Source organism: Homo sapiens, chromosome 8, assembly GCF_000001405.40.
Source record: "Homo sapiens chromosome 8, GRCh38.p14 Primary Assembly".
Lineage (NCBI taxonomy): Eukaryota > Metazoa > Chordata > Mammalia > Primates > Hominidae > Homo > Homo sapiens.
Genome location: NC_000008.11, coordinates 7807788 through 7831237, shown reverse-complemented (window position 1 = coordinate 7831237; position 23450 = coordinate 7807788). Strand labels below are relative to the sequence as shown.

Genomic DNA, 23450 nt, shown 5'->3' with positions numbered 1-23450 from the left:
TCTCAACAAATGGTGCTTGAACAATTAGATATCCCTATGCAAAAGAGAAAGAGAAGGAGAGGTAGAGAGGAGAAGAGGAGGCAATGAAGTGGGGGAAAAGAGGGAGGGAGGGAGAGAGAGAGAGAGAGAGAGAGAGAGAGAGAGATGGCCTACGATGAGGGAGTGATTAAACAAACTGTGGTTCATCCGTATCCTGGAATACTGCCCAACAATAAGAAGGAAAGAGCTATTGATAAATGCAACAACCTGGATGAATCCCCAGAAAGTTATGCTGACTGAAAAAAGCCAGTCTAATAAGGATATATACATTCTATTTATATGGCATTCCTAAAAGGACAAAATTGTAGAAATGGAGAATAAATCACTTATACAGGGGTTAAGACGGAGGTGGAGGTGTGAGGGAAGAGAGAGTGGCTCTGAAAGGGTAACATGAGAAGTCCTCCTGATAATGGAAATGTTATGCATCAGTGTCAATAACCTGGTTGTGATATTGCACTATGGTTTTACAAAGATGTTACTATTGAGGAAAATAGAGTAAAAGATCTGGGTATCTCTCTGCATTATTATTATTATTTTTGGAACTGTAGAGGAATCTACAATTACCTCAAACTAGAAAGTGTAACTAAAACATCCTTTTCGTGAAAGGGTTATTGATTCTAATAGAATTAAATCTATCGACTTTGAAAAATTAAAGGGGAGGTAAGGCAAGATTTCTGAGCCAGCAGGAAACCAAAACTAACTCTTGAGCACTGGAAACATGATAGGAAATTCTTACTTAAACTAAGTAATTGTCTCAGTCCATTCATGCTGCTATAATAAAATATCTTATGCTGGGTGATTTATAAACAATAGAAATTTATTACTTACAGTTTTAGGGGCTGGAAGACCTCAAAATATTTACTATATCCTGAGGACCCAGTTTGTGCTTTCAAGATAGCACCTTGTTGCTCAGCCTTCACATGGCAGAAGAGACAAACGCTGTGTCCTCCCATGGTGGAAGGAGCAAGGCAGTTTCTTTCAACCTCTTTCATAAGGGTGCTAATTCCATTCATGAGGGCAGGGCCCTTGAGGCTTAATCACCTCCTCAAAGGCCTCATCTGTTAATCACCAGAGTGGGGATTAGGCTTCAGCATTAATTTTGGAAGAACACATTCCCACCATAACAGTAATTTTGAGGCTTAGAATCAGAAGGTAAACTGTCAGCCAGTTCCTAGGAAAATCGTAGGCAGTGATTTGGGGAAGAGGGTCTAAATCACTGGAGTTACTGAGACTCATAGAGGTAATTATGACTCCCTTGCCTGTCAGCAAATTTTATCTCAGACTTACGTGTAGAGAACAAGTCTATAGAAAATATTTAACTAGCCCCAATTAAAGACATGGGGTCATGATGATTAATTTAGACAGGTGTGTGTGTGACACATAAAAGTCTTTGATAAATGGACCGCCTATCCATCAATTTGTCGTTCATGTAGCTATTCATGTAAATGTATGCTCATTTATGTGGGCATATGGCATGATGGTAAAAATTTTTAAAAAGTGTTCTCTTGAGATAGTTTGATGAGAATGATGGTTTCCAGTTTCAAGGACAAAAAACCAAACACCACATGTTCTCACTCATAGGTGGGAATTGAACAATGAGAACACTTGGACACAGGAAGGGGAACATCACACACCGGGGCCTGTTGTGGGGTGGGGGGAGGGGGGAGGGATAGCATTAGGAGATATACCTAATGTAAATGATGAGTTAATGGGTGCAGCACACCAACATGGCACATGTGTACATATGTAACAAACCTGCACATTGTGCACATGTACCCTAGAACTTAAAGTATAATAAAAAGAAAAAGAAAAAAAGAATAAAATTTTGTTTTGTATTAAAAAAAAGTGTGCTCATTTCTCTACCTATTCATCTTCTTTCCACCTCCCTCTCTCTTTTCTTTATTTTCTTTTGTTTACTTCTTTCATGTCAATAGGTTAGTAAGCGCCAACTTACTAGACTGAGCACAAGCTAGAGATTTGTTGATTTCTAGTCTCTTCTAGTCCTCTTTTAAGAAAAATATCAGATGGCTTTGGGACAATTTATCTACTCCAGAATGATAGAAAAATAAACCGGGATGGAGGGAGCATCAAGGTCAGGCAGTGTTGTTCTCCTTTCTAAATGAAACACTTGACAAACTGAGCAAAGACAGTCATTTATTTTTATTAAAGTGTCTGCCTACAGCAGAGGCAAGAGTAAAAAGAAGCTAGGTTATGTATGCTTCTCTGGAAACCTAAATCTTCTGCATTAATCTATAATGCTCCCACATGGCTGGATGGTCCGACAGCATTTCAGAGACTTCTGGCAGAGAGCAATAAGTTCTTCATTTTTCCCGCAATTGTTCTTGCATGTCCCTTTAAGTTTGTTGCATTTCTCATCAAAAAATGCATTCTTGGCTACACGAGGGAAGGAGCCATTTGGATTAATTCCCTTTTCAGACATGTATGTTTACCAGATACAGTTGTATGACTACTTGGTGAAGATTTTTTCACAAGCTGTCATAGTGCCATATCCTACCGGTAAATGAGATGGTAGGGGACCTGATTTTTATCTGATATTTCAGTCTCATAGTCACACAGGGTGAAATACCGGAAAGAATACATTTGTCTTCCAGCATTTGAGACCAAGCTGTGTAGGAGCTTTGGGAAACGTCCCTAAGCTATGGTTCTTTAATCGAAATCTGTTGGGGATAATTATCAACTTGTTCCCATAAACACTCCCAGAGGCTGCTAATTTTCCTAGTGCACTCTCAGAGGCTGCTACTTGGTGAGAGTAGAGCAAGAGCTGAGACTGAGGAGATAGCTCCAGACCAGAGCAAAGGAAGGGATAAAGATATAAAAAGAGAATGAGTTTACTGTGGTAGATAGAAACTTGCTTGGAAGGCTCAGCCTGATTTCTCCTCCATATTCACCAAAGCAACGACTGCGGAAAACTTGTGCTTTAGAGAAGGAGGGTGCAGCATGTTGGGAATGTTTTTCTAAGATTTTCTCAGTTCATTTTGCGGAGAATTCCAGTTCCCACCTTAGGGCTTTATCAGTAGCAGTCCCAAGAGCAGCCTGCTTCAAGTTAAGGACAGACAGCACGTCTTATCAGGATCAACATTTTAGAGCTGCCCAATTTGTGTATATATAATGAAGGCATCAGATGTACAGAGATTGCATTTAATGTCTATACTATAATGTATATACATTTAATGTCAACATATAAAGGTGCCTAATTCAAATCTACATAAAACTTACAGCCAGGTGGATTAGTGCCAGCATATGCACTAATGATTATCCAGGATCAGCACATCAGTTCATAAGTGAAAATACTCCACTATTTCAAAGCTCGATGAACTCTGGCTCTCACTGGCAGGGGTCTATGTTCTCTCTGCCCTACTGTAAGGCAGATACTAATATAATACTATACTATAGACTATAGCGTGGTATTCAGATAAAATCTTTTTGGTTTAGTATAGTATCATAGTATAGCTTAGTATATACTATAAAAATACTAGTATTATAGTATATACTGGTATAATAGTGTATACTATAGTATTATACTAGTATATATACTATACTATATACTAGTGTGTTATAGTAGTATATATACTATATACCAGTGTATTATACTAGTATACTATACTATATACTAGTGTATTATACTAGTATGTACACTATACTATGTACTAGTATATAATACTACTAGTAATAATATAGTATATATACTATATTATCATACCAGTATATATACTATACTATATACTAGAGTATTATACTAGTATATATACTATATACTAGAGTATTATAATAGTATATACACTATACTATATATTAGTGTATTATACTAGTATATACACTATACTATATACTAGTGTATTATACTAGTATATACACTATACTATATACTAGTGTATTATACTAGTATATACACTATACTATATGCTAGAGTATTATACTAGTATATACACTATACTGTATACTAGTGTATATATTAGTATATACACTATACTATATACTAGTGTATTATACTAGTATATACACTATACTATATACTTGTGTATTATACTAGTATATACACTATACTATATACTAGAGTATTATACTAGTATGTATACTATGCTATATACTAGAGTATTATACTAGTATGTATACTATACTATATACTAGAGTATTATACTAGTATATATACTATATTACATACTAGTATATAATACTACTAGTAATAATATACTAGTATAATATAGTATCTGGCCAGGTGCAGTGTCTCACACCTATAATCCCAGCACTTTGGGAGGCTGAGGAGGGTGGATCACGAGGTCAGGAGTTCGAGACCAGGCTGACCAACACGGTGAAACCCCGTCTCTACTAAAAATACAAAAAATTAGCCAGGCAAGGTGGCACATGCCTGTAATCCCAGCTACTCAGGAGGCTGAGGCAGGAGAATCGCATGAACCCCGGTGGCAGAGGTTGCAGTGAGCTGAGATTGTGAAACTGCACTCCAGCCCGGGGAACAGAGTGAGACTCTATCTCAAAAAAAAAAAAAAAATATGTATATATATATATATAATATATACTAGTACAATACTATATAGTATATAATACTAGTACAATACCATACTGTAACATCAGTAAATAATTATAGTATATACTATGCTATACTATAATACTATACTAAACCAAAAAGATTTTCTCTAATACTATTGTATTATAGTATTATACTCTAGTATATCTAATAGGTAATTATTAGATTATCTAATAATTATATAACAAGCATTATGTAATTATAGATAAGTATCTGTAATTACATAATAATTATAGTAACTAATTATACTTTTATAATTATAGTATTATCTAACAGATAATTTTATAGTATATAACATCTTTTTTTTGACTTATTATATAATAAGTATGAGTGATCTGAAAAAGATACCTCTGGCCAGTTTCGAACGTGCATATCAAAACCAGTGGCCTGAATACGGCATAGGTCACTGTGGGTCCTAGATCCTCATGTTTTGACACAGAATCTACTCTCACAGGCTTGTCACAAAACAGACCAGAGCTATGAGCAGCTGATGTGAAAAGTTGAGCATCATACCTGGGATCGTATATCACTGGTATCTGGCAGAAATTGGGAGTTACTGTGGGCTCTGAGAATCCCTTTCTTCAGCTCTCTGGAGGCTCACATGAGCCTGGTCTTAAGCCTTAATTTTGAAGAGGATACAATTGGAGCCACTGGAGATTCCCAGGAGCAGGAGAAAATGAAGAGAGTTTTGATATGGGAAGGGTGTCTTTAATGCCTCTTACTGTGGCAAGACAGTTGGGCTCCTACCCTGGCTTTGTTTTGGTTATCTATAAGACTCTGAGAAGCACTGAGCCCATCTGAGGCACAATTTCTGCATCTGTAATAAAATTTGTAAAATGGACCTTCAAACCCAAAAAGATTTTCTCTAACTTCCATTAAATTAGGGGTAAGACAGAGTTTTCCGTAAAGGCGCTGGCACTGGAAGACTAGATGCATTTTATGTGAAGCTCTCATCACAGTACTTGGCTTGATGATATGTGATCAAGAAATGGCAGTCCAAGTTACGCTGCTTTACCTGTTGCCATGACTGGCATGAGTGCATAGGTGTCTCTAAGCTCAGATCCTTACCTGTCCCTTCTCCTTACCTGTCTCAATCTCTACCATAACTACATTTTAAAAGGTTCATAGACTGCTATCCTTGTTTTTAATTTTTTCTCAATTTTTGTTTTTGTTAGTGAGCATGAGATGGGATGCCAAAAGGCATCTTTCCTGGCCTTCTTTTATTCTTTCAAACCTGTGACAGCCCCTCCTAGATAACAATGTAAAATGCAAAGGAATTACAGAAGAGGCGTTGGGGAATATCACCTCTTGTAGTAGATGGGTTGATCACGCCCAGGCATTCACTGAAGGGGACCCTGTCTGTGGGACACCACCTCCGATCACCTTCCCTGTAAAGATGCCCATTTTACCTGGGGTCAGAAAGAAGAGCACGGCAAAGAGAAAGAGGAAAGTCCTCATGACTGGGTGGGTCTTGAGAGATCAGCACCGTGTCCATGAGGAAAGAGCCGCAAACACCCACATTTATACATTTCTCCAGACCAAGTAACATCTTGATCAGTGAGGCTTAGCAGAAACGAGAGGATTTCCATGCTCTGCTGCACAGAGCCCACCCAACCTCAGTGGGTGTCACTCAGTCTACAGCTCATCATATTTCTGATTCTGGAAAGTTTTGAAGAAGGAAAGTGGGGATGAAGGGAGGACAGAGTAGGGCAGACACAGAAAAAATAAAAAAATCTGGAGTCCAGTAGTTTGGTTTCTAATCCTGGCTGTGTTCCTGAACAGCTTTGGTTTACTCATATGTAAAATGGGAGTAATTATACAATATCTCAATGCTTCAGTTAAGAGCTGAGGAACCGTAGTGAGGTGGAATCTGAATTCCAGATTCAGTCTTTTTGAGCTTTGTAAACTTGGCAAAGGGCTTGACCTAAGCATATATTTGTTAAAAAATGTGAATCTTGCTGTATGCTGCACGCTTTTCGTGCTTGGTCCTGCCATGCTGCTCACCTGTACCATGGCACTGTTGGCGCAGCAAGGAGCTGGTAACCATCATGCCTTGCCCTAGACACCTGGGCTCAAGCAATCTACCTGCCTTAGGCTCCCAAAAGCTACGATAATAGACATAAGCCACCCATCTGGGCCAATATTCATGTCCTTAATGAATTTAAAATATGCAGTAATTATGGCTTTGGTGCGTGAGGTGATATCTTACAGGAAAGGGGACTCAGAGCTAACTTGACAAAATGATTGCTACCCCTCCTTTTCTCCCTGTGATACTTGTAGAGAATAAAAATGAAAGCTAGAAAAGTGAGAGTCCACATTTATTGAGTTCTTACATGGTACCAGGCCTCCTTCCAAGCATTCCACATATTCAAAACACTTTTGCATTATAATCATACTAGATTCTTACAACACCTTTAGAGGCAGGCAGAATTTGCAAGTGGGTTCTTATTTTCTCCCAGAAAACAGAAGCTGGAAGAGATGAAAGGGGTCACTATCTTCTGGCCCCTGCATTAGTATGGTGGAAACTCACATGGCCCCTGCTCTTTCAACCTCTAGCCTGGTGTTCTTTCCACTACACCAGTTAGACTCCCCAAAATAAAAGGCTTTCTGGATGCCAAGGGTTATTATCCATGATATCATCCCTTTATCCTGGGAAATGGAGCATATAATTGTGTTTTATTGATTCACTTCACGGATCAAGAGCATCTCCCCATTACTTTTAAATAAAAATGAGCCTCTCATTTGGGTCTTCTCAAGGAAATCCCAATCTCTATTCCGAAGAGTCTTCCCTAAAAGATGGCCCTGATCAGGAAGACATTTTATTTTCTATTTGCTATGTTCTTCATTTTGGTTCAACTGCCATCAGGTAAGTAAAAATGGATGGGATTTTGATTGGGCAGATTATAAAGCCTGTTGATTCTTCCATGTTTGACCTTAATGGTCAAGCTCTCATGGCACCTGTCATGGGAATTTCTTAGACCTACAGTGACATTTACTAAGAGCAAACAGCATATAGTGTATTTTTTTTTTTTTGTAATTTGTTTTTGCTGGTTACCTGGAATGCTGGCCTTGAGAAACAGAATAAAGATTGCAACTCTGTGATCTACTGTCTCCTGTTATGCTATGTCACATGTGAAGTTGGGAGTGTTTTATACAGTGTTAATTCCTGTGTTGATTTTAATTTTCAAAATGTATTTTGTTTTGAATTTAGGGTGCCAGGCAGGACTTGATTTTTCCCAACCATTTCCATCAGGTAAGTTAAATCTCTTGTATATAATTATTTTTTCTCTTAGGAGCTCTGGCGCTGTTAGCTCTCTCTGATGTCTGGAGGCAAAGAGGGGACAGAGATAGTGGCAGAAATAGAATTGTCTGAAAAATCAGTTCACTAACTTATCTCCTTCTCTTTCTCTTGTTCCAAGTATAATATTTGGATATTTTTGATTTCACAGAAAAATATCTTTGTGACTGGACTGTAATTTGGCCATAGAGATTTGGACTCAGTGGCTTTTCCCATTAGCTGTTGGTGCTCACTAAACCAAGTTCTTAGATTTATTCTTGTACCAGCCAATTAGCACTGCTCTGTGAACACGCCTGCCCATCTCTTGCAAGCTCTGCTGCTAAGTCTGGTAATAATATATGTCACAAATGCATGAGGTTAGTTGAAGGAAGCTCAAATTAAAGAGTGAGGTTGCCTCAGTGAAAACTCAGCACCATTGCAGAAAAGCTATTCATAACGAATAGCCCCCAGATCTTTTCTTTTTCTTTGAAGTCATCTTATACAGAAAGAAAGGACATTGTAAACAAAACTAAAAGAAATATTGTAGACAAAGTTGAAATGGTTTTAGACAGAATTTCAAAGTGAGAAATATGAAGGTTGCTACTAGTCCTTGAGTGTTTGCTCTGTACCAGGCATCCTGCTAAAAACTTTACATGGACTTTGTCATGTAATCCTCAAAACAGTCCTATGTGGTAGGTATTATTATAATGAAAATATTTACATATAATATTCCATTTGATCCCTAAACTGATTTAAAAAATGTAGTCAGGTGCTTCTAGAATGGCCACTGGACAAATGAGAATATGGACCTTAACCTGCCGGCTACTAGGCCCAAACTAGAGTTGATCTTCAAGGATCTTTAAAAAACCACAATATACCCCTCCCATTTTTTGTCTAGTAAACTTCACAGTCATATCAGGTATGTATTTTTATAGTTCTGTAATATGTATGTCTCTTTGTCTGTCTGTGGTTTACTTTTGATCCCTGCCAGATTATAAACACTTGGAGAGTAGGAATTGCGATGATCTGTTGCATAAAAATTAACTCTCCCCAACTCCCTACTGCAAAAAGCAGAAACTATTTTTGAAAAATCTGGGCTGATTCTTGAAAATATTCTTTGTAATCATACGTACGAACTGTCCCTTTTTTTTTGGTGGTCTTTGACATGTTCCCCATTTCTAGACATTTCCTGGAAAGCTCCCTCAGCAGCTCTTTCTTGGCACAGGTGAGTTTGCTGTCTGTGAGTCGTGCAAGCTTGGTCGGGGAAAATGCAGGAAGGAGTGCTTGGAGAATGAGAAGCCCGATGGAAATTGCAGGCTGAACTTTCTCTGCTGCAGACAGAGGATCTGACAAACCAGACCAGCACACTTCTGGCCTTAGAAGCAGACCTGGATATTCAAAGAAGTTCAAGAGAAGTTATGTGGCTTATCCAAATCACACAGTGAGTGAGTCTCAGAATCATTCTCATTTCTTTCTCCCTTTGTTACGTTTTATTGCTTATTTTTTAAAGATGACTTTTTTTCTTTTTTTTTTTTTTTGAGAAGGAGTCTCACTCTGTCGCCCAGGCTGGAGTGCAGTGGCTCGATCTTGGCTCACTGCAACCTCCACCTCCCGGGTTCAAGCAATTCTCCTGCTTCAGCCTCCCAAGTAGCTGGGACTACAGGCGCATACCGCCATGCCTGGCTAATTTTTGTATTTTTACTAGAGATGAGGTTTCACCATGTTGGCAAGGCTGGTCTCGATCTCCTGACCTCAGGTGATCTGCTCGCCTTGGCCTCCAAAAGTGCTGGGATTATAGGCATGAGCCACCATGCTGGGCGAGATGACCTTTAAAAAACATCAAGACATGAGTGTGTACCTAGTATCTGCTCAATCAGATACCACTACTATGTATATGTAGAGTACCTTACAATTTATGAAGTATTTTCCATACTTCTCTCATATGACTCATGATTACCTTATGAGGTAGGTTTTATTACTGCCATTTACATTTGAAAATATTGAGGCTCAAGAGGCTGTTAATTCTTCAGAGCCATAGCTAGGATCCAGTAACTGCTGTGCACATTGCTGTCATGTTTTATGTATCCATCTATATGTACTAACTATGTTAATGGAATAATAATTCTATCAAATATAATACATTATTTTTATATTCACATTATTTCTTGGTTTGTCTAAATATTGTCATTCATTGATTCTAGTACTTATGGTGTATTTACCTGTGAAAGAAAATGATTAGAGATTAACTTAAAATGTTCAACACAGAATATGCATAAATGGTTGACTGTCTAATTTTGCCTTGTGAAATAAAATCCAGCTTCACAAAATAAAGGCCAAAATTACCAGCCCTATGACCAGTGACTTGAACTTGGTTACTTAGTTTTAACGTATGAGATTAAACAATGTTTTGTTTAACATTTGGGCCTATTATTTGTCTCTTTGTGCTCAAATCTGTTCCTTGTTTTTTTCTGCTTTGCTGAGTAAAATGGGAACTATTAGTTGCAAACTACATTTTCCAGGCTTCCTGACTTCTGGCTAGTTTTGGTCAATGTGTCTCCTAGGAGAATGGGAGATTGAAGAAGGAAGGACAATGTGAATTTCTCCCCGACTCCCTCTCTTTTCCAGCAGTGGCTTTTCATGCTCAGCAAGGCCGCTGCTTTTCTGTCTTCTGCACTCACCTGGCAGTCCCACCGCAAGTTTAGCTTCTGCCAGCCAGTGCTGCTCCCAGGCTCACACAAATCCTTCCATTTTTCCTCAAACCTTAGGGCAGTGGGAGATTTCTGCTGTGACTATCAGTAGGGTTGCCTCATTGCTCCCGCTTTGCATTGTCATCTTTTCCAACACTTTATCTGTACATATTAAATTCTTTCTATAGAACTATCCATTGGGGGAACCCTTTTAATGCTTGATTGGTTCAATTTTTAGATTCACTCTATTTACATATGATCCACTGTTTTCCAAAAGAGATTTGAAACACAGCCCTCAAGAAGCCTAGAGTGTTTCCTTCATTTACACAGGAATTACCCCAGGGAAGTGGGAAGTGGGGTATTTGGTCTTAAGAGTCCAGTTCACAGTAATTTTCTGCTGGCAGATGGTCTTCCTCCCCAGGTCTCCACAGTGCAAATGCAGCTGCTAGCTTACAGAACACCATGAAACTGGAATACTACTTACTCATTCCAAATACTGCATTGCTTTATCTTAAAAAAATGCTCTGGAACCTAGTTGAAGTTTCTTTTAATGAAAGATTCATGTGAGTGTCTCAGAGTCATACAAAGTGGTAGACCAGTAGCTGTGCCCTGATATTACCTCACTAATGACCTCATGTAGCATCCAGATGGCAGCTGCAGAGGACACCTCCCACAGGTGCTCACCTAGTCACAAATTGTTCCCTTTCATGGCAGGCCAAGTCTCACTAACGCAAGACTCCATAACAACTGCTTTAGTACCCACTGAGGGGTTAAGTTAAATATTAAAAGCTTAAAAAGCCAGTGCCCTGATATAAAGGCTTGAATGTAACAAAAGCCCACTAAGAGTTTTGCTTAGGCCTTTCCTGGGCCTTAAAGCACGACAAACTAATGAAGGAGTTCTTAACAGGACCCGTTTAGGATTAAACAAGTTTATAGGAGGTCTGAAGAAACTCCCCAAATATCAGTGATTTAGCAGGAGACAAGGTGAGGGTAATAACCCCAGCACCTGGACCCATTTAGATTAAGTACATTTACTGAGGCTCCAGAGGAAGGTCTTCGGGACTCAGACCTTAGTTATAGATTAAAAGAAGTTAATAACTTATGTCTTTAGATGAATGCACACTTACACATAAACATATAGCTTGGAAGGTATATAAGCTCTGGAAAACTTTGTAATTTTAAGTTGGTCTGGCGATAATTTCCAGGACTTCTCCCTATAACTGGTTGCAGAAATAAAAACTCTCTTCCTCCCGAGTTTATTTGCATCTTGTTATTGGGCTGTGAGAAATAGCAGCCCAACTCTCCGTTTGGTCCAGGAACACTTTCTTTACACTTTAGATTCATGGAAACAAAGAGACTGAAAGTAAAAGGATGGAAAGAGATTTGCCATACAAACAATAACCAAAAGAGAGCTGTAGTGGCTATACCAATAGTGTACAAAACAAACTTTAAGACAAAATTGGTACTAAAGATGAAGAAGGGCATTTTGTAATGTTAGCAAGTTAATCTATCACGATAATATAACAAGTATAAAAACATGCACCTAACAACAGAGTGCCAAAATACATGAAGAGAAAATTGACAGAATTGAAGGGAGAAATAGAGAAGTCAACAGTAATAGCAGGAGACTTTAATATACCACTTTTAATAATAGACAAAACAACTAGAAAAAAGATTAGCAAGGAAATACAAAATTTGAATAGCACTGTAACACAATGACCTCAAAGCGTGGAACACTGCACCAATTACAGCAAAATACACATTCTTCTTCTGTTCACATGAAATATTCTTTAGAATAGACTGTATGTTAGATTTAAATACAAGCTCCTCAATACATTTAAAAGGATAGGAATCATACAAAGTATGTTCTCTGAACAAAATGGGATAATAGAAAGAAATTTGGGAAAGTCACAACTATGTGGAAATTAAACAGCATAAATGTGAATAAATGATGGGTCAAAGCAGAAAACATAAGGGAATGTAGAAAATATTTTAAAGGGAGCCCCCAAACACTTTAAAATATACAACACAACAGCAACTTACCAAAACTGTGAGATGCAGCTAAAACAATGCTTACAGGAAAATGTATGGTTGTAAATGCCTGTATTTATAAAGAAGATAGATTTAAAATCAGTAAATTATCTTCCATCTCAAGAAAATTAAGGAAGAGCCAACTAAACCCAAAGCAAGCACAAGGAAGAAAATAATAAATATTAGCACGGAAATAAATGAAATAGAGACTAAGAAAACAATAGAATAAATCAACACAACAAAAATTTATTTTTTGAAATGATCAACAAAATTGGCAAGCCTCTAACTAGACTGACTAAGAAAAAAAGAGAATACTCATATTACTAAAATCATGAGTGAAAGAGAAGTTTTACAAAAGATCTTACAAAAGTATTTTTTAATATTATTAAGGAATACTATAAACAATTTTATGGCAACAATTTTGATAATCTAGATGAATAAATGCCTAGAAATGCATACATATCAAACCTAATTCAAGAAGAAATAGAAAGTCTAAAATGGACCTATAACAAATAAAGTGCATGAATTGACAGTAATAACACTAACAAAAATCCCACATAGTAAAACCCAGGGCCAAATGGCTCCACTGGAACATTGTAAAGATGTTACTCTATTTTATTTTGCCTCGATTTTTTTTTCAGACAGGGTCTCACTCTGAAGCTCAGGCTGCAGTGCAGTGGTATGATCTCGGCTCACCCCATCCTCTGCCTCCGGGGCTCAAGTGATCCTCCCACCTCAGCCTCCTGAGTGGCTGGGACCACAGGTGCCTGCCACCATGTCCAGTTAATTTTCGTATGTTTTGTAGAGATAGGGGTCTCATTATGTTGCCCAGGCTAGTTTCGAACTAAACTCCTGGCTCAAGTGATCTGCCCACCTTGGCCTCCCAAAGTGCTGGGATTACAGGCGTGAACCGCCACACCTGTCCTGGCTTGCATATTTTTTGATGAGAAGTTTGCTGCAGTTATTCTGTCATCTTTCTACAGGCAGGAGGCATGTATGCCTTCTCTGTTGACAAAGGTAGAGGATGTTCTTTGTTTTTCTTTTTTAATGTGCTCCCTTCTCCTCGTTCTCCTAGCTTTAATATTTTGTTTTGCATTTTTTTAGATTGTTCATTCACCAGTGCCGTACAAACAACTGTTGTTCTTCCCTCAGTTTCTTAATTAAGAAATTAAGACTTTCTTTTCCATAAAAGAGAAAGATTCTTGCAAGCTTTTGTTCTTTCTCACAGTGGCTACTGTTCCCCTCAGCCGACTTACATCATGAAATACTCTAATCTTTTTTGTAAGCACCTGCTGAGTCTATGGAGAAGACATTAGAAGTTGCTGTGAACTTCTCTTTTGTCTGTGACCCCAGACATTTATATTGTTTCTCTAGTTTATGCTTGCTCTTAGCAATTCTCTACAGACTTTACCTGAAATCTTTTAAATCATATTCTGGGGGTAATCTGCTTCAGGTAAGCAAGCACTCATGGTCTTTATTTTTTGGAGGTTCCTGTCTTTTCTTATATTTCTAGGTAGGTGGCTGATTTGTGACCTTAGCTTTCCAATGAGTTAAAGAAACTGAATATTTGCAGTCTGCCGTGTGTTTTGCTGTGTACTTGTTTCATGTGGGATGATTTTCTTTACGTATTTCTACATCTTAAGCAGAAGCCATTCTTCATTTAATAACACACTTACTTTCTTTAAGACATACAGAAATACTTATATTTTCTGCTAATTCTTGTGCCAATTTTGGTAAGTTAAATTTTTGAGAGAATTCTTTTATTTTATGTAAGTTGTGAAATGTTTTGGCATATACCTGTTGACAACATTTTTATATTAGTTTAATGTTTCTTGGATCTGTAGTGATAACTTCTTTTTCACTTATTCTGCATACTTGGGCTTACATTGTTCCCTTTTCTAAGGTTCTTAGAGCATAATTTTAAGTCATAGATTTAAACATTTCTTCTTTTCTACAATAAGTATTTGGATACAAATTTCTTTCGAAGTCATTGTTTTGTTGTGCTCCACAAAATTCGATATACAGAAATGCTTTCCAATTATTCTCATTATTTATTCTTTGATACAAACACAATCTAGAATGATGTTGCTTTATCTCCACATATTTGAAAATATCCTAAATAGCTTATTTTATAGATTGCCAATTTAATCCCCTTGTGGTGAGAAATACACTCTGAAGTATTTAAATGTGCTTAAACACATCAATATTTGTTTTATGGCCTAGCATATGGTTCATTTTTATGAATGTATCATATGTACTTGAAAAAAATGTGTATTTTGCAGTTGTCTTATGATGTGTTCTATAAATATCAATGCAGTCAGTGGAATGGTGGTATTGTTCAGATCATGCATGACTTTGCTAATTTTTCCCTGTGTTCTATCAGTTGCTGAGAGAGTGGTGTAAAAATTTTCTACTATGAATATAGAAGTGTCTATTTCTCCCTTTAATTAAATCAAATAATATAAAAACATGTTAATGGTTTTTATGTATTTTCAATGGATTAACCCTTTTCTCCTTAAGCAACAGCACTCCATGCAATACAGCGAGACCCTGTCAAAAAAAAAAAAAAAAAAAACCTGCACACGTACTCCTGAATTTAAAATTAAAGGTTTTTGTGTGTTTGTTTTAATTATTATTTTAAGAATAGGTTTTATGTAAAATCATGTACTAGGAAAAGCGTGGTGGCTATATATCTTATAGACATGGTAATACTTGAGATAAGACTTGAAGGAAAAATGAGAGAAGTCTAAGCAGAGACACAGAATAGAATATTCCAGGCAGAAAGGCAGGGTTCTCTGCGTTTGTCTCCCACAAATGTGGTTTAGTTAAAATCTGATCCATCAGCCCACACATTAATCAGTGGAGCATGGAAAATAGTATGTTCCCAATGAACATTACAAACCGAGGATGACTTCCAGTCCCTTCAGGGCAGTAGAACATATTTTAATCAATGCCCCTTGATAAAAGAGCTTGATTCCAGCTACTGCACTTCCTTCATCAGCTCTCCACTGATGCCTGGAGCCATGAAAATATTTGTCTTTATTTTGGCTGCTCTCATTCTTCTTGCTCAAATTTTCCAAGGTAAGAGGGAAATTCTTCTAGAAGTAGAGATGACAGTCTGCTCAGGATCTGTCTTTTGAGATGAAAGCTCAACTTTTACAAAGTTGAAGGTTCCAAGGCAAACCAGTCACTGAAAATCTTTTCCTGAGCTCCGACACAAAACAATGGGACCACATTGACCGGGACCATCTCCATCCATAATAGTTTCTAGTCAACTTCCCTAACAGCTCTGCCAAGGAATTCAGACATCTTTGTACTTTTAGATCTCTTTCCTCCTTTGTAATCTGCAACGCAGGTTCAGCATATTCTTTTTTTTTTTTTTTTTTTTTTTTGAGACGGAGTCTCGCGCTGTCGCCCAGGCTGGAGTGCAGTGGTGCGATCTCGGCTCACTGCAAGCTCTGCCTCCCAGGTTCATGCCATTCTCCTGCCTCAGCCTCCCGAGTAGCTGGGACTACACGCACCCGCCACCACGCCTGGGTAATTTTTTTGTATTTTTAGTAGAGACGGGGTTTCACTGTGTTAGCCAGGATGGTCTTGATGTCCTGACTTCGTGATCCGCCCTCCTCGGCCTCCCAGAGCCCTGGGATTACAGGCATGAGCCACCGCGCCTGGCCAGCATATTCTAAAGTGATTTCTTTAAAATGAAAAAAAAAAAAAAAAAGAAAGAAAAGATTATCCAAGGAAATGCCAAACATATTTGTTAAGTTAGGGAAGTACAGCCTTTGTAGTCTAAATTAAACTAAAGTTATGTTACTAGATTCTTAGACAGCTAATTTTTTTTCATGTCTGAGTCGTCGGTCCAAATCTCTTATCCATACATTATTTTAGACTTTTTGGCTTTCACACACTGGTTGGAAATTATGCCATTAAAACCACTAAACTAACATCTTGCTTACTATTCTCTTAAGTCTTTGCGTCTTTGAGATTCTCTTTGCTTCATACAACCACGACTCTGTTCCTAAGAAATGTTTATGTCCATACCTCCTCAACTATCCTTCGTTCCTTCTGTTGTGAAGCTTTTCCTATTAGAGGTTCTCCATGCATCATGAAGCCCCCTGTCTGTTCCTTCATGGCTCCTGAATTTCTACATTCCTTTATTACACATTCTGTCCTCAGTAGTCCTAGAAAACCAATAGATATTGAATGTGTGCTAACCACTTGTAAGAAATTGTTCTGTCCACTATGATAAAGGTAGGTAAAACGAAGAGGTAAAAATATAAAGCATGGACATTGACCTTAATTTGCTTGAAGTTATTAGTCTATTCCTTCTGTGTTGTTCGAAAATAGGTTGCTTGTAGTGGTAAATAAGCTTTCAATACATTTAACATGTATAAGTAAGTATCAATGAGACAGGAAAATTCACAAATAACTTTAATATGAAACAGTTTTCACAAGTGCCATAAAAGATGCAAATTATAAAGAGAAGTCATAGATGTGGAAACTTGGTTCTAACTAGGAAATGCAGAAAGGCTTCCTGGGAAGTAGTATTTGTTTTGCACATTTGGAAATAGGCAAGACTAGAACTAAAGAACAGAGCCAGGGAACAATGTCCCCATGAAAGTTTCAGTGACTCCATGAAAGTGTCAGTTGTAAAATCAGTTCCCGATTTTCTGCCCTCAGCATCTTTTTGCAGATGTCAGACAATGCTCCAGAATAGATAAACTCATTTAAAATTGTCTTCTCCATCCACTTTAATCAGTACTCCAATTTATTCAGATCAGTCTATAGATGTGGATGCCTAATAGCTCCCTGTCCACAAAACTCATCTCAGATGTATTTGAATTACAATAATAAGCATAGTTTGGGCACAAATTAGAACCACCACCATCACCATAATCACATAGAATCTCAGAGTTAGAAGTGAATTTAATGATCAATATAAAAGGTAATAAACATAGGTTATTAGGCCAAACTTATATGAGTTTGGATCTCAGTGCTAATCTTTATAAGCTGTATGCACCCTGTGTTTTACTTTCCATTCTATAAATGATAATAATAATAGCATTGTTTTGAAGATGAATAAACTTGTTATATTAATTAGAAACTAACTTGTTATAATAAAGAATCTTAATGATAGAATGACTGAAGAAAGACAAAACCTTATTTCTCTTTCATGTAAAAGTCCAAAAATAGCTAAGTTGACTAGGTGCGGGTAGAGGGTTCTTTTTCACCAAGTTATGTTGTGATTTGGGCTGAAGGTCAACCCTGCCATCCTAAACAGTTGACCATTTTATTTGGTTCCAAGGATATTCTAACAGGCAGGGTTAGAAAGTATAGAACCTGATTAAGATTACATAGAAGCAGCTCACATCATTCCACTCCTTTTTCATTTTTCCAAATTTGTTCATGTGGACATATAGAAATAGGAAGCTAGGAGCTGATGTGAATAGCTAAGTATTCATGTGTCCAGCTAAACCCAGAGGTTCTATGACTAAAAGTCTGAAGGTAAAAATGACTGCTTTGGGACAGTTTAACAATCTCTCTGTATAACTGCTTGAGCAGTGGCAGGCACATACTCTATGCTATGTTAGAGTTTACCATTGTTGGTCATTTGTTCTTCTACTTATTTTTTTGTTCTCTGCCCTGATTCAGTATTGAACACCCTATACATGTATATATATATATATGTGTGTGTGTGTGTGTGTATGTGTGTGCGTGTGTGTGTCTCAACTGATTGTCCAGTTGCCTGATAAATTTAAGTGATCTGTAGTTCACAGTATCCCAAGTTCAACTTTGGACTATTCAAAAATTTCTCCTTAATTTGAGCAGAAATCTAAGTCCCTGCAATTTCTTTCCATTAGTCTTTGCCTTAACTTGGCACTAACAAAATATATTCCACATGATAATATTTCAGATATATGGCAGCTAATATGTACTGTTTCTCCCCCAAAGTTGTTATTTCCAGGAATAAACATTACTCCTTTTGAGAAGAACTGCTACTTCTTCCACTATTGTTTCCTAAGAATGTATCTTACCAATTAAAAAAGATTCCTGTTTTGACATATTTTTTCCTCTTCAACCTAATCTCTGTTATGAATGAACACACATTGCCTGTGTCTCTCTAAATTTGCTTGCCAGAGCTAAATACACGATTCCATTGGTGTTCTTTGCACAGTAAATTGAGAAGGACTAGCATCATGTTGTTTATCTTTCTACCTAAAACTGTGAGACTCCGAAATCATATGCCAGGGCATATGATCTACTATTGGCCTGCCTATAATGTAACAGAACAATCTTTAACTTTTGCTATAAATCAGAGACTATTTGGATACAGGGGAAAAAAAATCTGTTGGTAAGGATCGTTCATTGGAATTAGAAAGTATTTTGTCATCTTCCTTGGAAGAAACATTCTGTTTCTGTACAAGCTAGATATGATTTTGACATATGAAAATCTTTTCTGTTTTTTTCCAATTGGCTATTTAATAAGGACATTGATTATATTGTACCAGGGGTCTGAGCTCAGACATGACTGTTCAGATAACATCTGATTTTTCTAATTTCTAGGTTTATAGTCTGTGTCTCTAGGAGTTATGGTAATGAGGAAGTCTGAATTTGGCCTGGGCGATGTAATTTTATCTTACAGTTACTAATTACTAGATAACTGAAGACAAATTGCTTTCTTTACTTAGCCAGGACAGCAATTCATAGAGCACTAATTAGTAAGAGAATGGAAGGTCACTGTGAAGCCGAATGTCTTACCTTTGAAGTAAAGATTGGGGGCTGTAGAGCTGAATTAGCACCATTTTGCTGCAAAAACAGAAAGAAACATTAAAAACTAAGCACCAGCTGCAAGAAACAAAGAGGTGAAGATTCTCTGGCTGCGATATCAGTGGGATAAATCTCTCTGGACCATCTCTCTTTGATCTGCAAAGGTTGGATTATCTGAAGCCATGTCTGTCCAGTTCCCAGTGCTACAAGGAGATACCCTTCCTAGGCTGTGAACTTCTTCCAGGCAGACACTATATCTTGTTGACCTTTGCACTCTCAGTTCCTGACACAGGGCCTATTAATGATTTCTTTTACTTTATATAAAAGTGAGCCATTGAATACACAGATAAAACAGATGGAATGGAATGGTTGGACTGGCACTCAGGTGAATTGAGTTCTAAAGTCATAGCTCTGGCTTTAAACAGATGTAGGACATTGGGCCCTCTGTGCCAGGATTCTGGTATCTATAATGTGAGCAGATTGAACCTCTCAGTAAACGGTATACCTGCTAGATGCTCATTGTGGCTGCTTCAGCAGTATCACTGTCATGTACTCCTTTCTCTCTTTTATAGGTAGGAACTGTTTAGATTCTTGTTCATTTACCTGTTCGATCTAAAACATCAAGTTTTAGAATGAAATGCACCCATATCAAAATTCAAGTTGGCTGTAGCTTGAGCAACATCTTCATTCTGGCCATTTGCAGTGAGAATTGATCAAATCATGGGTTTCTGAAGCAGTAAGTTCCCCAAAGGTCATCGAATTCAGTGCCCTTATTACAAAGGAGGAGAGTGAGACTGAAGAAGATTATACAGTTACTGACTTAGTCACATTTATATTCCAACTTCGGGCTTTCTGGACTTGTCTGCTTAGCATGTCCACAAAATAGCAGGCTGGAAGATAATAGAACAACAAAAGGCAGTCCTAAAGATGGAACGTTTCTCAGCGGGTTCAGGTGAACAGTTAAATGGAGGAAGAAATTGAAACAAACTGAAAAAAAAAAAAACCATAGAAAGAAAAAAAGACACTTTCTAAGAATCTCTTTTGTAATCCTGCAAACCCTGCCCTTTCAGAGCATAACAATGGCAAACTGAGGCTTACCTTTTCCCTAATTTGCCAAAATTTGGAGTCCCAGCTTTCCAGCAGAAGAAAGCATATATCACAGACCATTTCATCGTAGAAGATTTATAGTACACCATCCCAGAACAGAAGAAGTAAAATCCCTCTGCGCTGCTCTAGAAAATGTCCTTCTCTATTCAGTTAAGCTGGCTTCCTGTAGAGATGTAAATAAAAGAGGAAAAAAAATCTGGAACAAGACAACGTGTAAAATGTTTTAAAATAAAAAATAAAATGTGTTTTGAAAGATCTTCTGGTATTGCCACTTGTCTTCATGGTGCTAATTTTCTTATTCTGAAAACTATGCTGGAGGAAAATATGTAAAGTTATCTGTTTCAATCAGAGGATTTTTCTGTTCTGCATTTTCCCTAGAAATTCCTTAAACATTGTCTCAGATAAAACTAACTGCCTTTGAGAATCTAAGTGTGTTTAGACTTTCTCGTTTCTTCATTTTTTATTTTTCCTCTTCTTTCTCTGTCAGTCAAATGACTTGAAATATAGCATACATTTCCTGTCTCCAGTGTTTTTATACCCTATTTCCTTCTCAACCTATAGAAATCTCTTAAAGCCAGGCATGGAGGCTCATGCCTGCAATTTCAGCACTTTGGGAGGCCAAGACAGGAGGATCCTTTGAGCCCAGGAGTTCGAGACCAGCCTGGGCAACATAGGGAGACCCCATCTCTACAAAAATTTAAAAATTTAGGCTGGGCACAGTGGCTCACGCCTGTAATCCCAGCACTTTGGGGGGCCGAGGTGGGCAAATCACAAGGTCGGGAGTTTGAGACCAGCTTGACCAACCTGGTGAAACCCCGTCTCTACTAAAAATACAAAAAGCAGCCAGGCGTGGTGGCATGCATCTGTAATCCCAGCTCCTTGGGAGTCTGAGACAGGGGAATCGCTTGAACCCGGGAGGCAGAGGTTGCAGTGAGCCAAGATCATGCCATTGCACTCCAGCCTGGGTGACAAGAGCAAGTCTACGTCTCAAAAAAAAAAAAAAAGAAAAGAAAAGCCCGGTATAGTGGCTCACACCCATAGCCCCAATTGCTTGGGGGCTGAGCCCTGGAAGTTGAGGCTGCAGTGAGCCTGATCATGCCATTGCACTCCAGCCTGAGTGACAGAGGGAGACTCTGTCTCAAAAAAAAAAAAAAAAAAAAAAAAAAAAAAAGAGACCCTGTTTCAAAAGAAGAAGAAGGAGAAGAAGAAAAAAGAAGAAGAAGAAGAAGATTATTTTAGCTCTCATCATACTATTGGAATTTCTCTTTATAAAGGTACCAGGTACCTCCTTAGTCAGTTAATAGTAGTTTTTCTCTTAATAAATTACCAGGGCCAACTCCAGTGACCTATGGCCAGTATTCATCCTTCAGGCCCTTTCTGAAACATTTTACAAGGTGATCTATCTCCTGCACCTTAATTTCTCTCTCTTCTGGCCGTGAGAATGTTTGTCTGCTGGACATTTCTCTTTGTCTTCTCCACACATTCTCAGTCTTCTTTGCTGACTGTTCCTCATATTCTCTTGGCTAGGATTGCTTTCACCTATGTTTCATTCTCTTCTTATTATACGTGTTATCTCCAAACAATCTCCTCCATTCTCATGGTTCCCACTCTTTATGGACTAATGACATGGTGTTACTTCTTTACTTTTATGATTTCTTTACTCTGCTCTGTGGTGCTGTGCTGGGACTCTGAAAACAGCATTTGTTATACTGCTTGGCCAGTTAGCTTCTTGTTAGCACCTTTAATGAAAGGTATTAGCAGGAGAGTGGAAAACAAGACCAAGAGTGAAGGCATCTGTTCTATGCCGTTTTTGTCAGCCCCATTCCAATAGCAGCAGATGGTTGGCTCCAGGCTTCAGGCTTTATATTCTTTCCACTTTCTCAGCAGCCCCACAAATACGCCAGAAAAGGACCAGCAGCCTCCTAGCTCTACCTCCTTGGTTGTAAGAGGACCGGCTGAGCTACAATCTGATTTTCTATGCACCTTGTCTATCCAAGCACCTGTTGGACCATGTCTCCTCCTCAGAAGTCTGAACACTGGCTATCAAGTGCCTCTGCCTCATTTGCCTGCACATCAGTCATTGAGCATTGCTCCCTTCAAATTTTAAGCGTGACTGATGTGGTGTAACCCACTAGGAGACATGGGCACCTGGTACTGTGTCTCCTCCTCATAGGTTCAAGCTCTAGCTGCGTACAAGTAAGATAATTTTGGGCGCTAGCCCCTGAGAGTAACTTTACTCCTTTGTTCCTATATGTTAAAAGGCGATATCCCTTTTGTATGGTTATCTCTGTGCCTTTTCAACCTTCCACTACTTATGTATCCAATTTAAGTTTACTGAGCTACTCTAAGTGGATTTCTGATAGGCACTTCAAAGGTAATGTCTTTATTGCAATTTATTGGTTTGCTTCCAAATCTGGCCTTCGTTTAATATTCTAAATCTTAGAAAATATTACTATCGTTTACTTGACATTCAGGGTAAAAGTAGAGGTTTACTCAGGAATGCTTACTTTTCTGAATAAGTCACACAATTTACTCATGACATTAATCTGCATAAATTGCTTATTAATCCCTGTAAATCTTAATGCAATTATCTCCTTCCCTCTTTCTCCTCACTGATGTTGTTCTAGATCAGTGTCTTATTATCTTCAGCCTCTGCTCTTACTCTGTCAAACTTGGTGTTAACAAATTCACCCTCACTGCCAATTATCTAAAATTTACTTATAATTTGTGGATTGAACTTTGCATGAAGTAAAGGAATAGTTCTACTTTTTCATGATGTATGAGCACACACACGAGCATACACACACCCATGTGAATTGAAAAACCATAAAAATTAGTCTAAGATTTATATTCAGATGTCTACGAATCCTTAGAACACTCAAATATTAGAACTAGAAGTAGCCTTAGAGATCACTTAAGTCCCTGCTTCCAGAACTATATTGGTTAATTATAGTCAGTGTAACTAGCCTAGAATACT

At 37.9% G+C, this 23450-nt stretch overlaps 3 protein-coding genes and 1 pseudogene across 3 annotated transcripts; 2 read left to right on the top strand and 2 right to left on the bottom strand.

Annotated features, from left to right (window-relative positions):
• Positions 1-23450, bottom strand: part of LOC124901865 (translation initiation factor IF-2-like) — a 451468-nt pseudogene that overhangs the window by 233954 nt on the left and 194064 nt on the right.
• Positions 2185-6099, bottom strand: DEFB106A (defensin beta 106A). The gene is made up of 2 exons (NM_152251.4): positions 6013-6099; positions 2185-2433 (listed from the first exon to the last, which is right to left on the bottom strand). The coding sequence occupies exons 1-2, from the start codon at positions 6059-6061 to the stop codon at positions 2285-2287; spliced, it is 198 nt and encodes a 65-aa protein (NP_689464.1). The 5' UTR covers positions 6062-6099; the 3' UTR covers positions 2185-2284.
• Positions 7358-10234, top strand: DEFB105A (defensin beta 105A). Its single transcript, NM_152250.3, has 3 exons — positions 7358-7469; positions 7815-7856; positions 9106-10234. The coding sequence occupies exons 1-3, from the start codon at positions 7400-7402 to the stop codon at positions 9228-9230; spliced, it is 237 nt and encodes a 78-aa protein (NP_689463.1). The 5' UTR covers positions 7358-7399; the 3' UTR covers positions 9231-10234.
• DEFB107A (defensin beta 107A) lies at positions 15522-19518 on the top strand. The gene is made up of 2 exons (NM_001037668.1): positions 15522-15679; positions 19288-19518. Exons 1-2 carry the CDS (start codon positions 15610-15612, stop codon positions 19428-19430), a joined length of 213 nt encoding a protein of 70 aa, NP_001032757.2. The 5' UTR covers positions 15522-15609; the 3' UTR covers positions 19431-19518.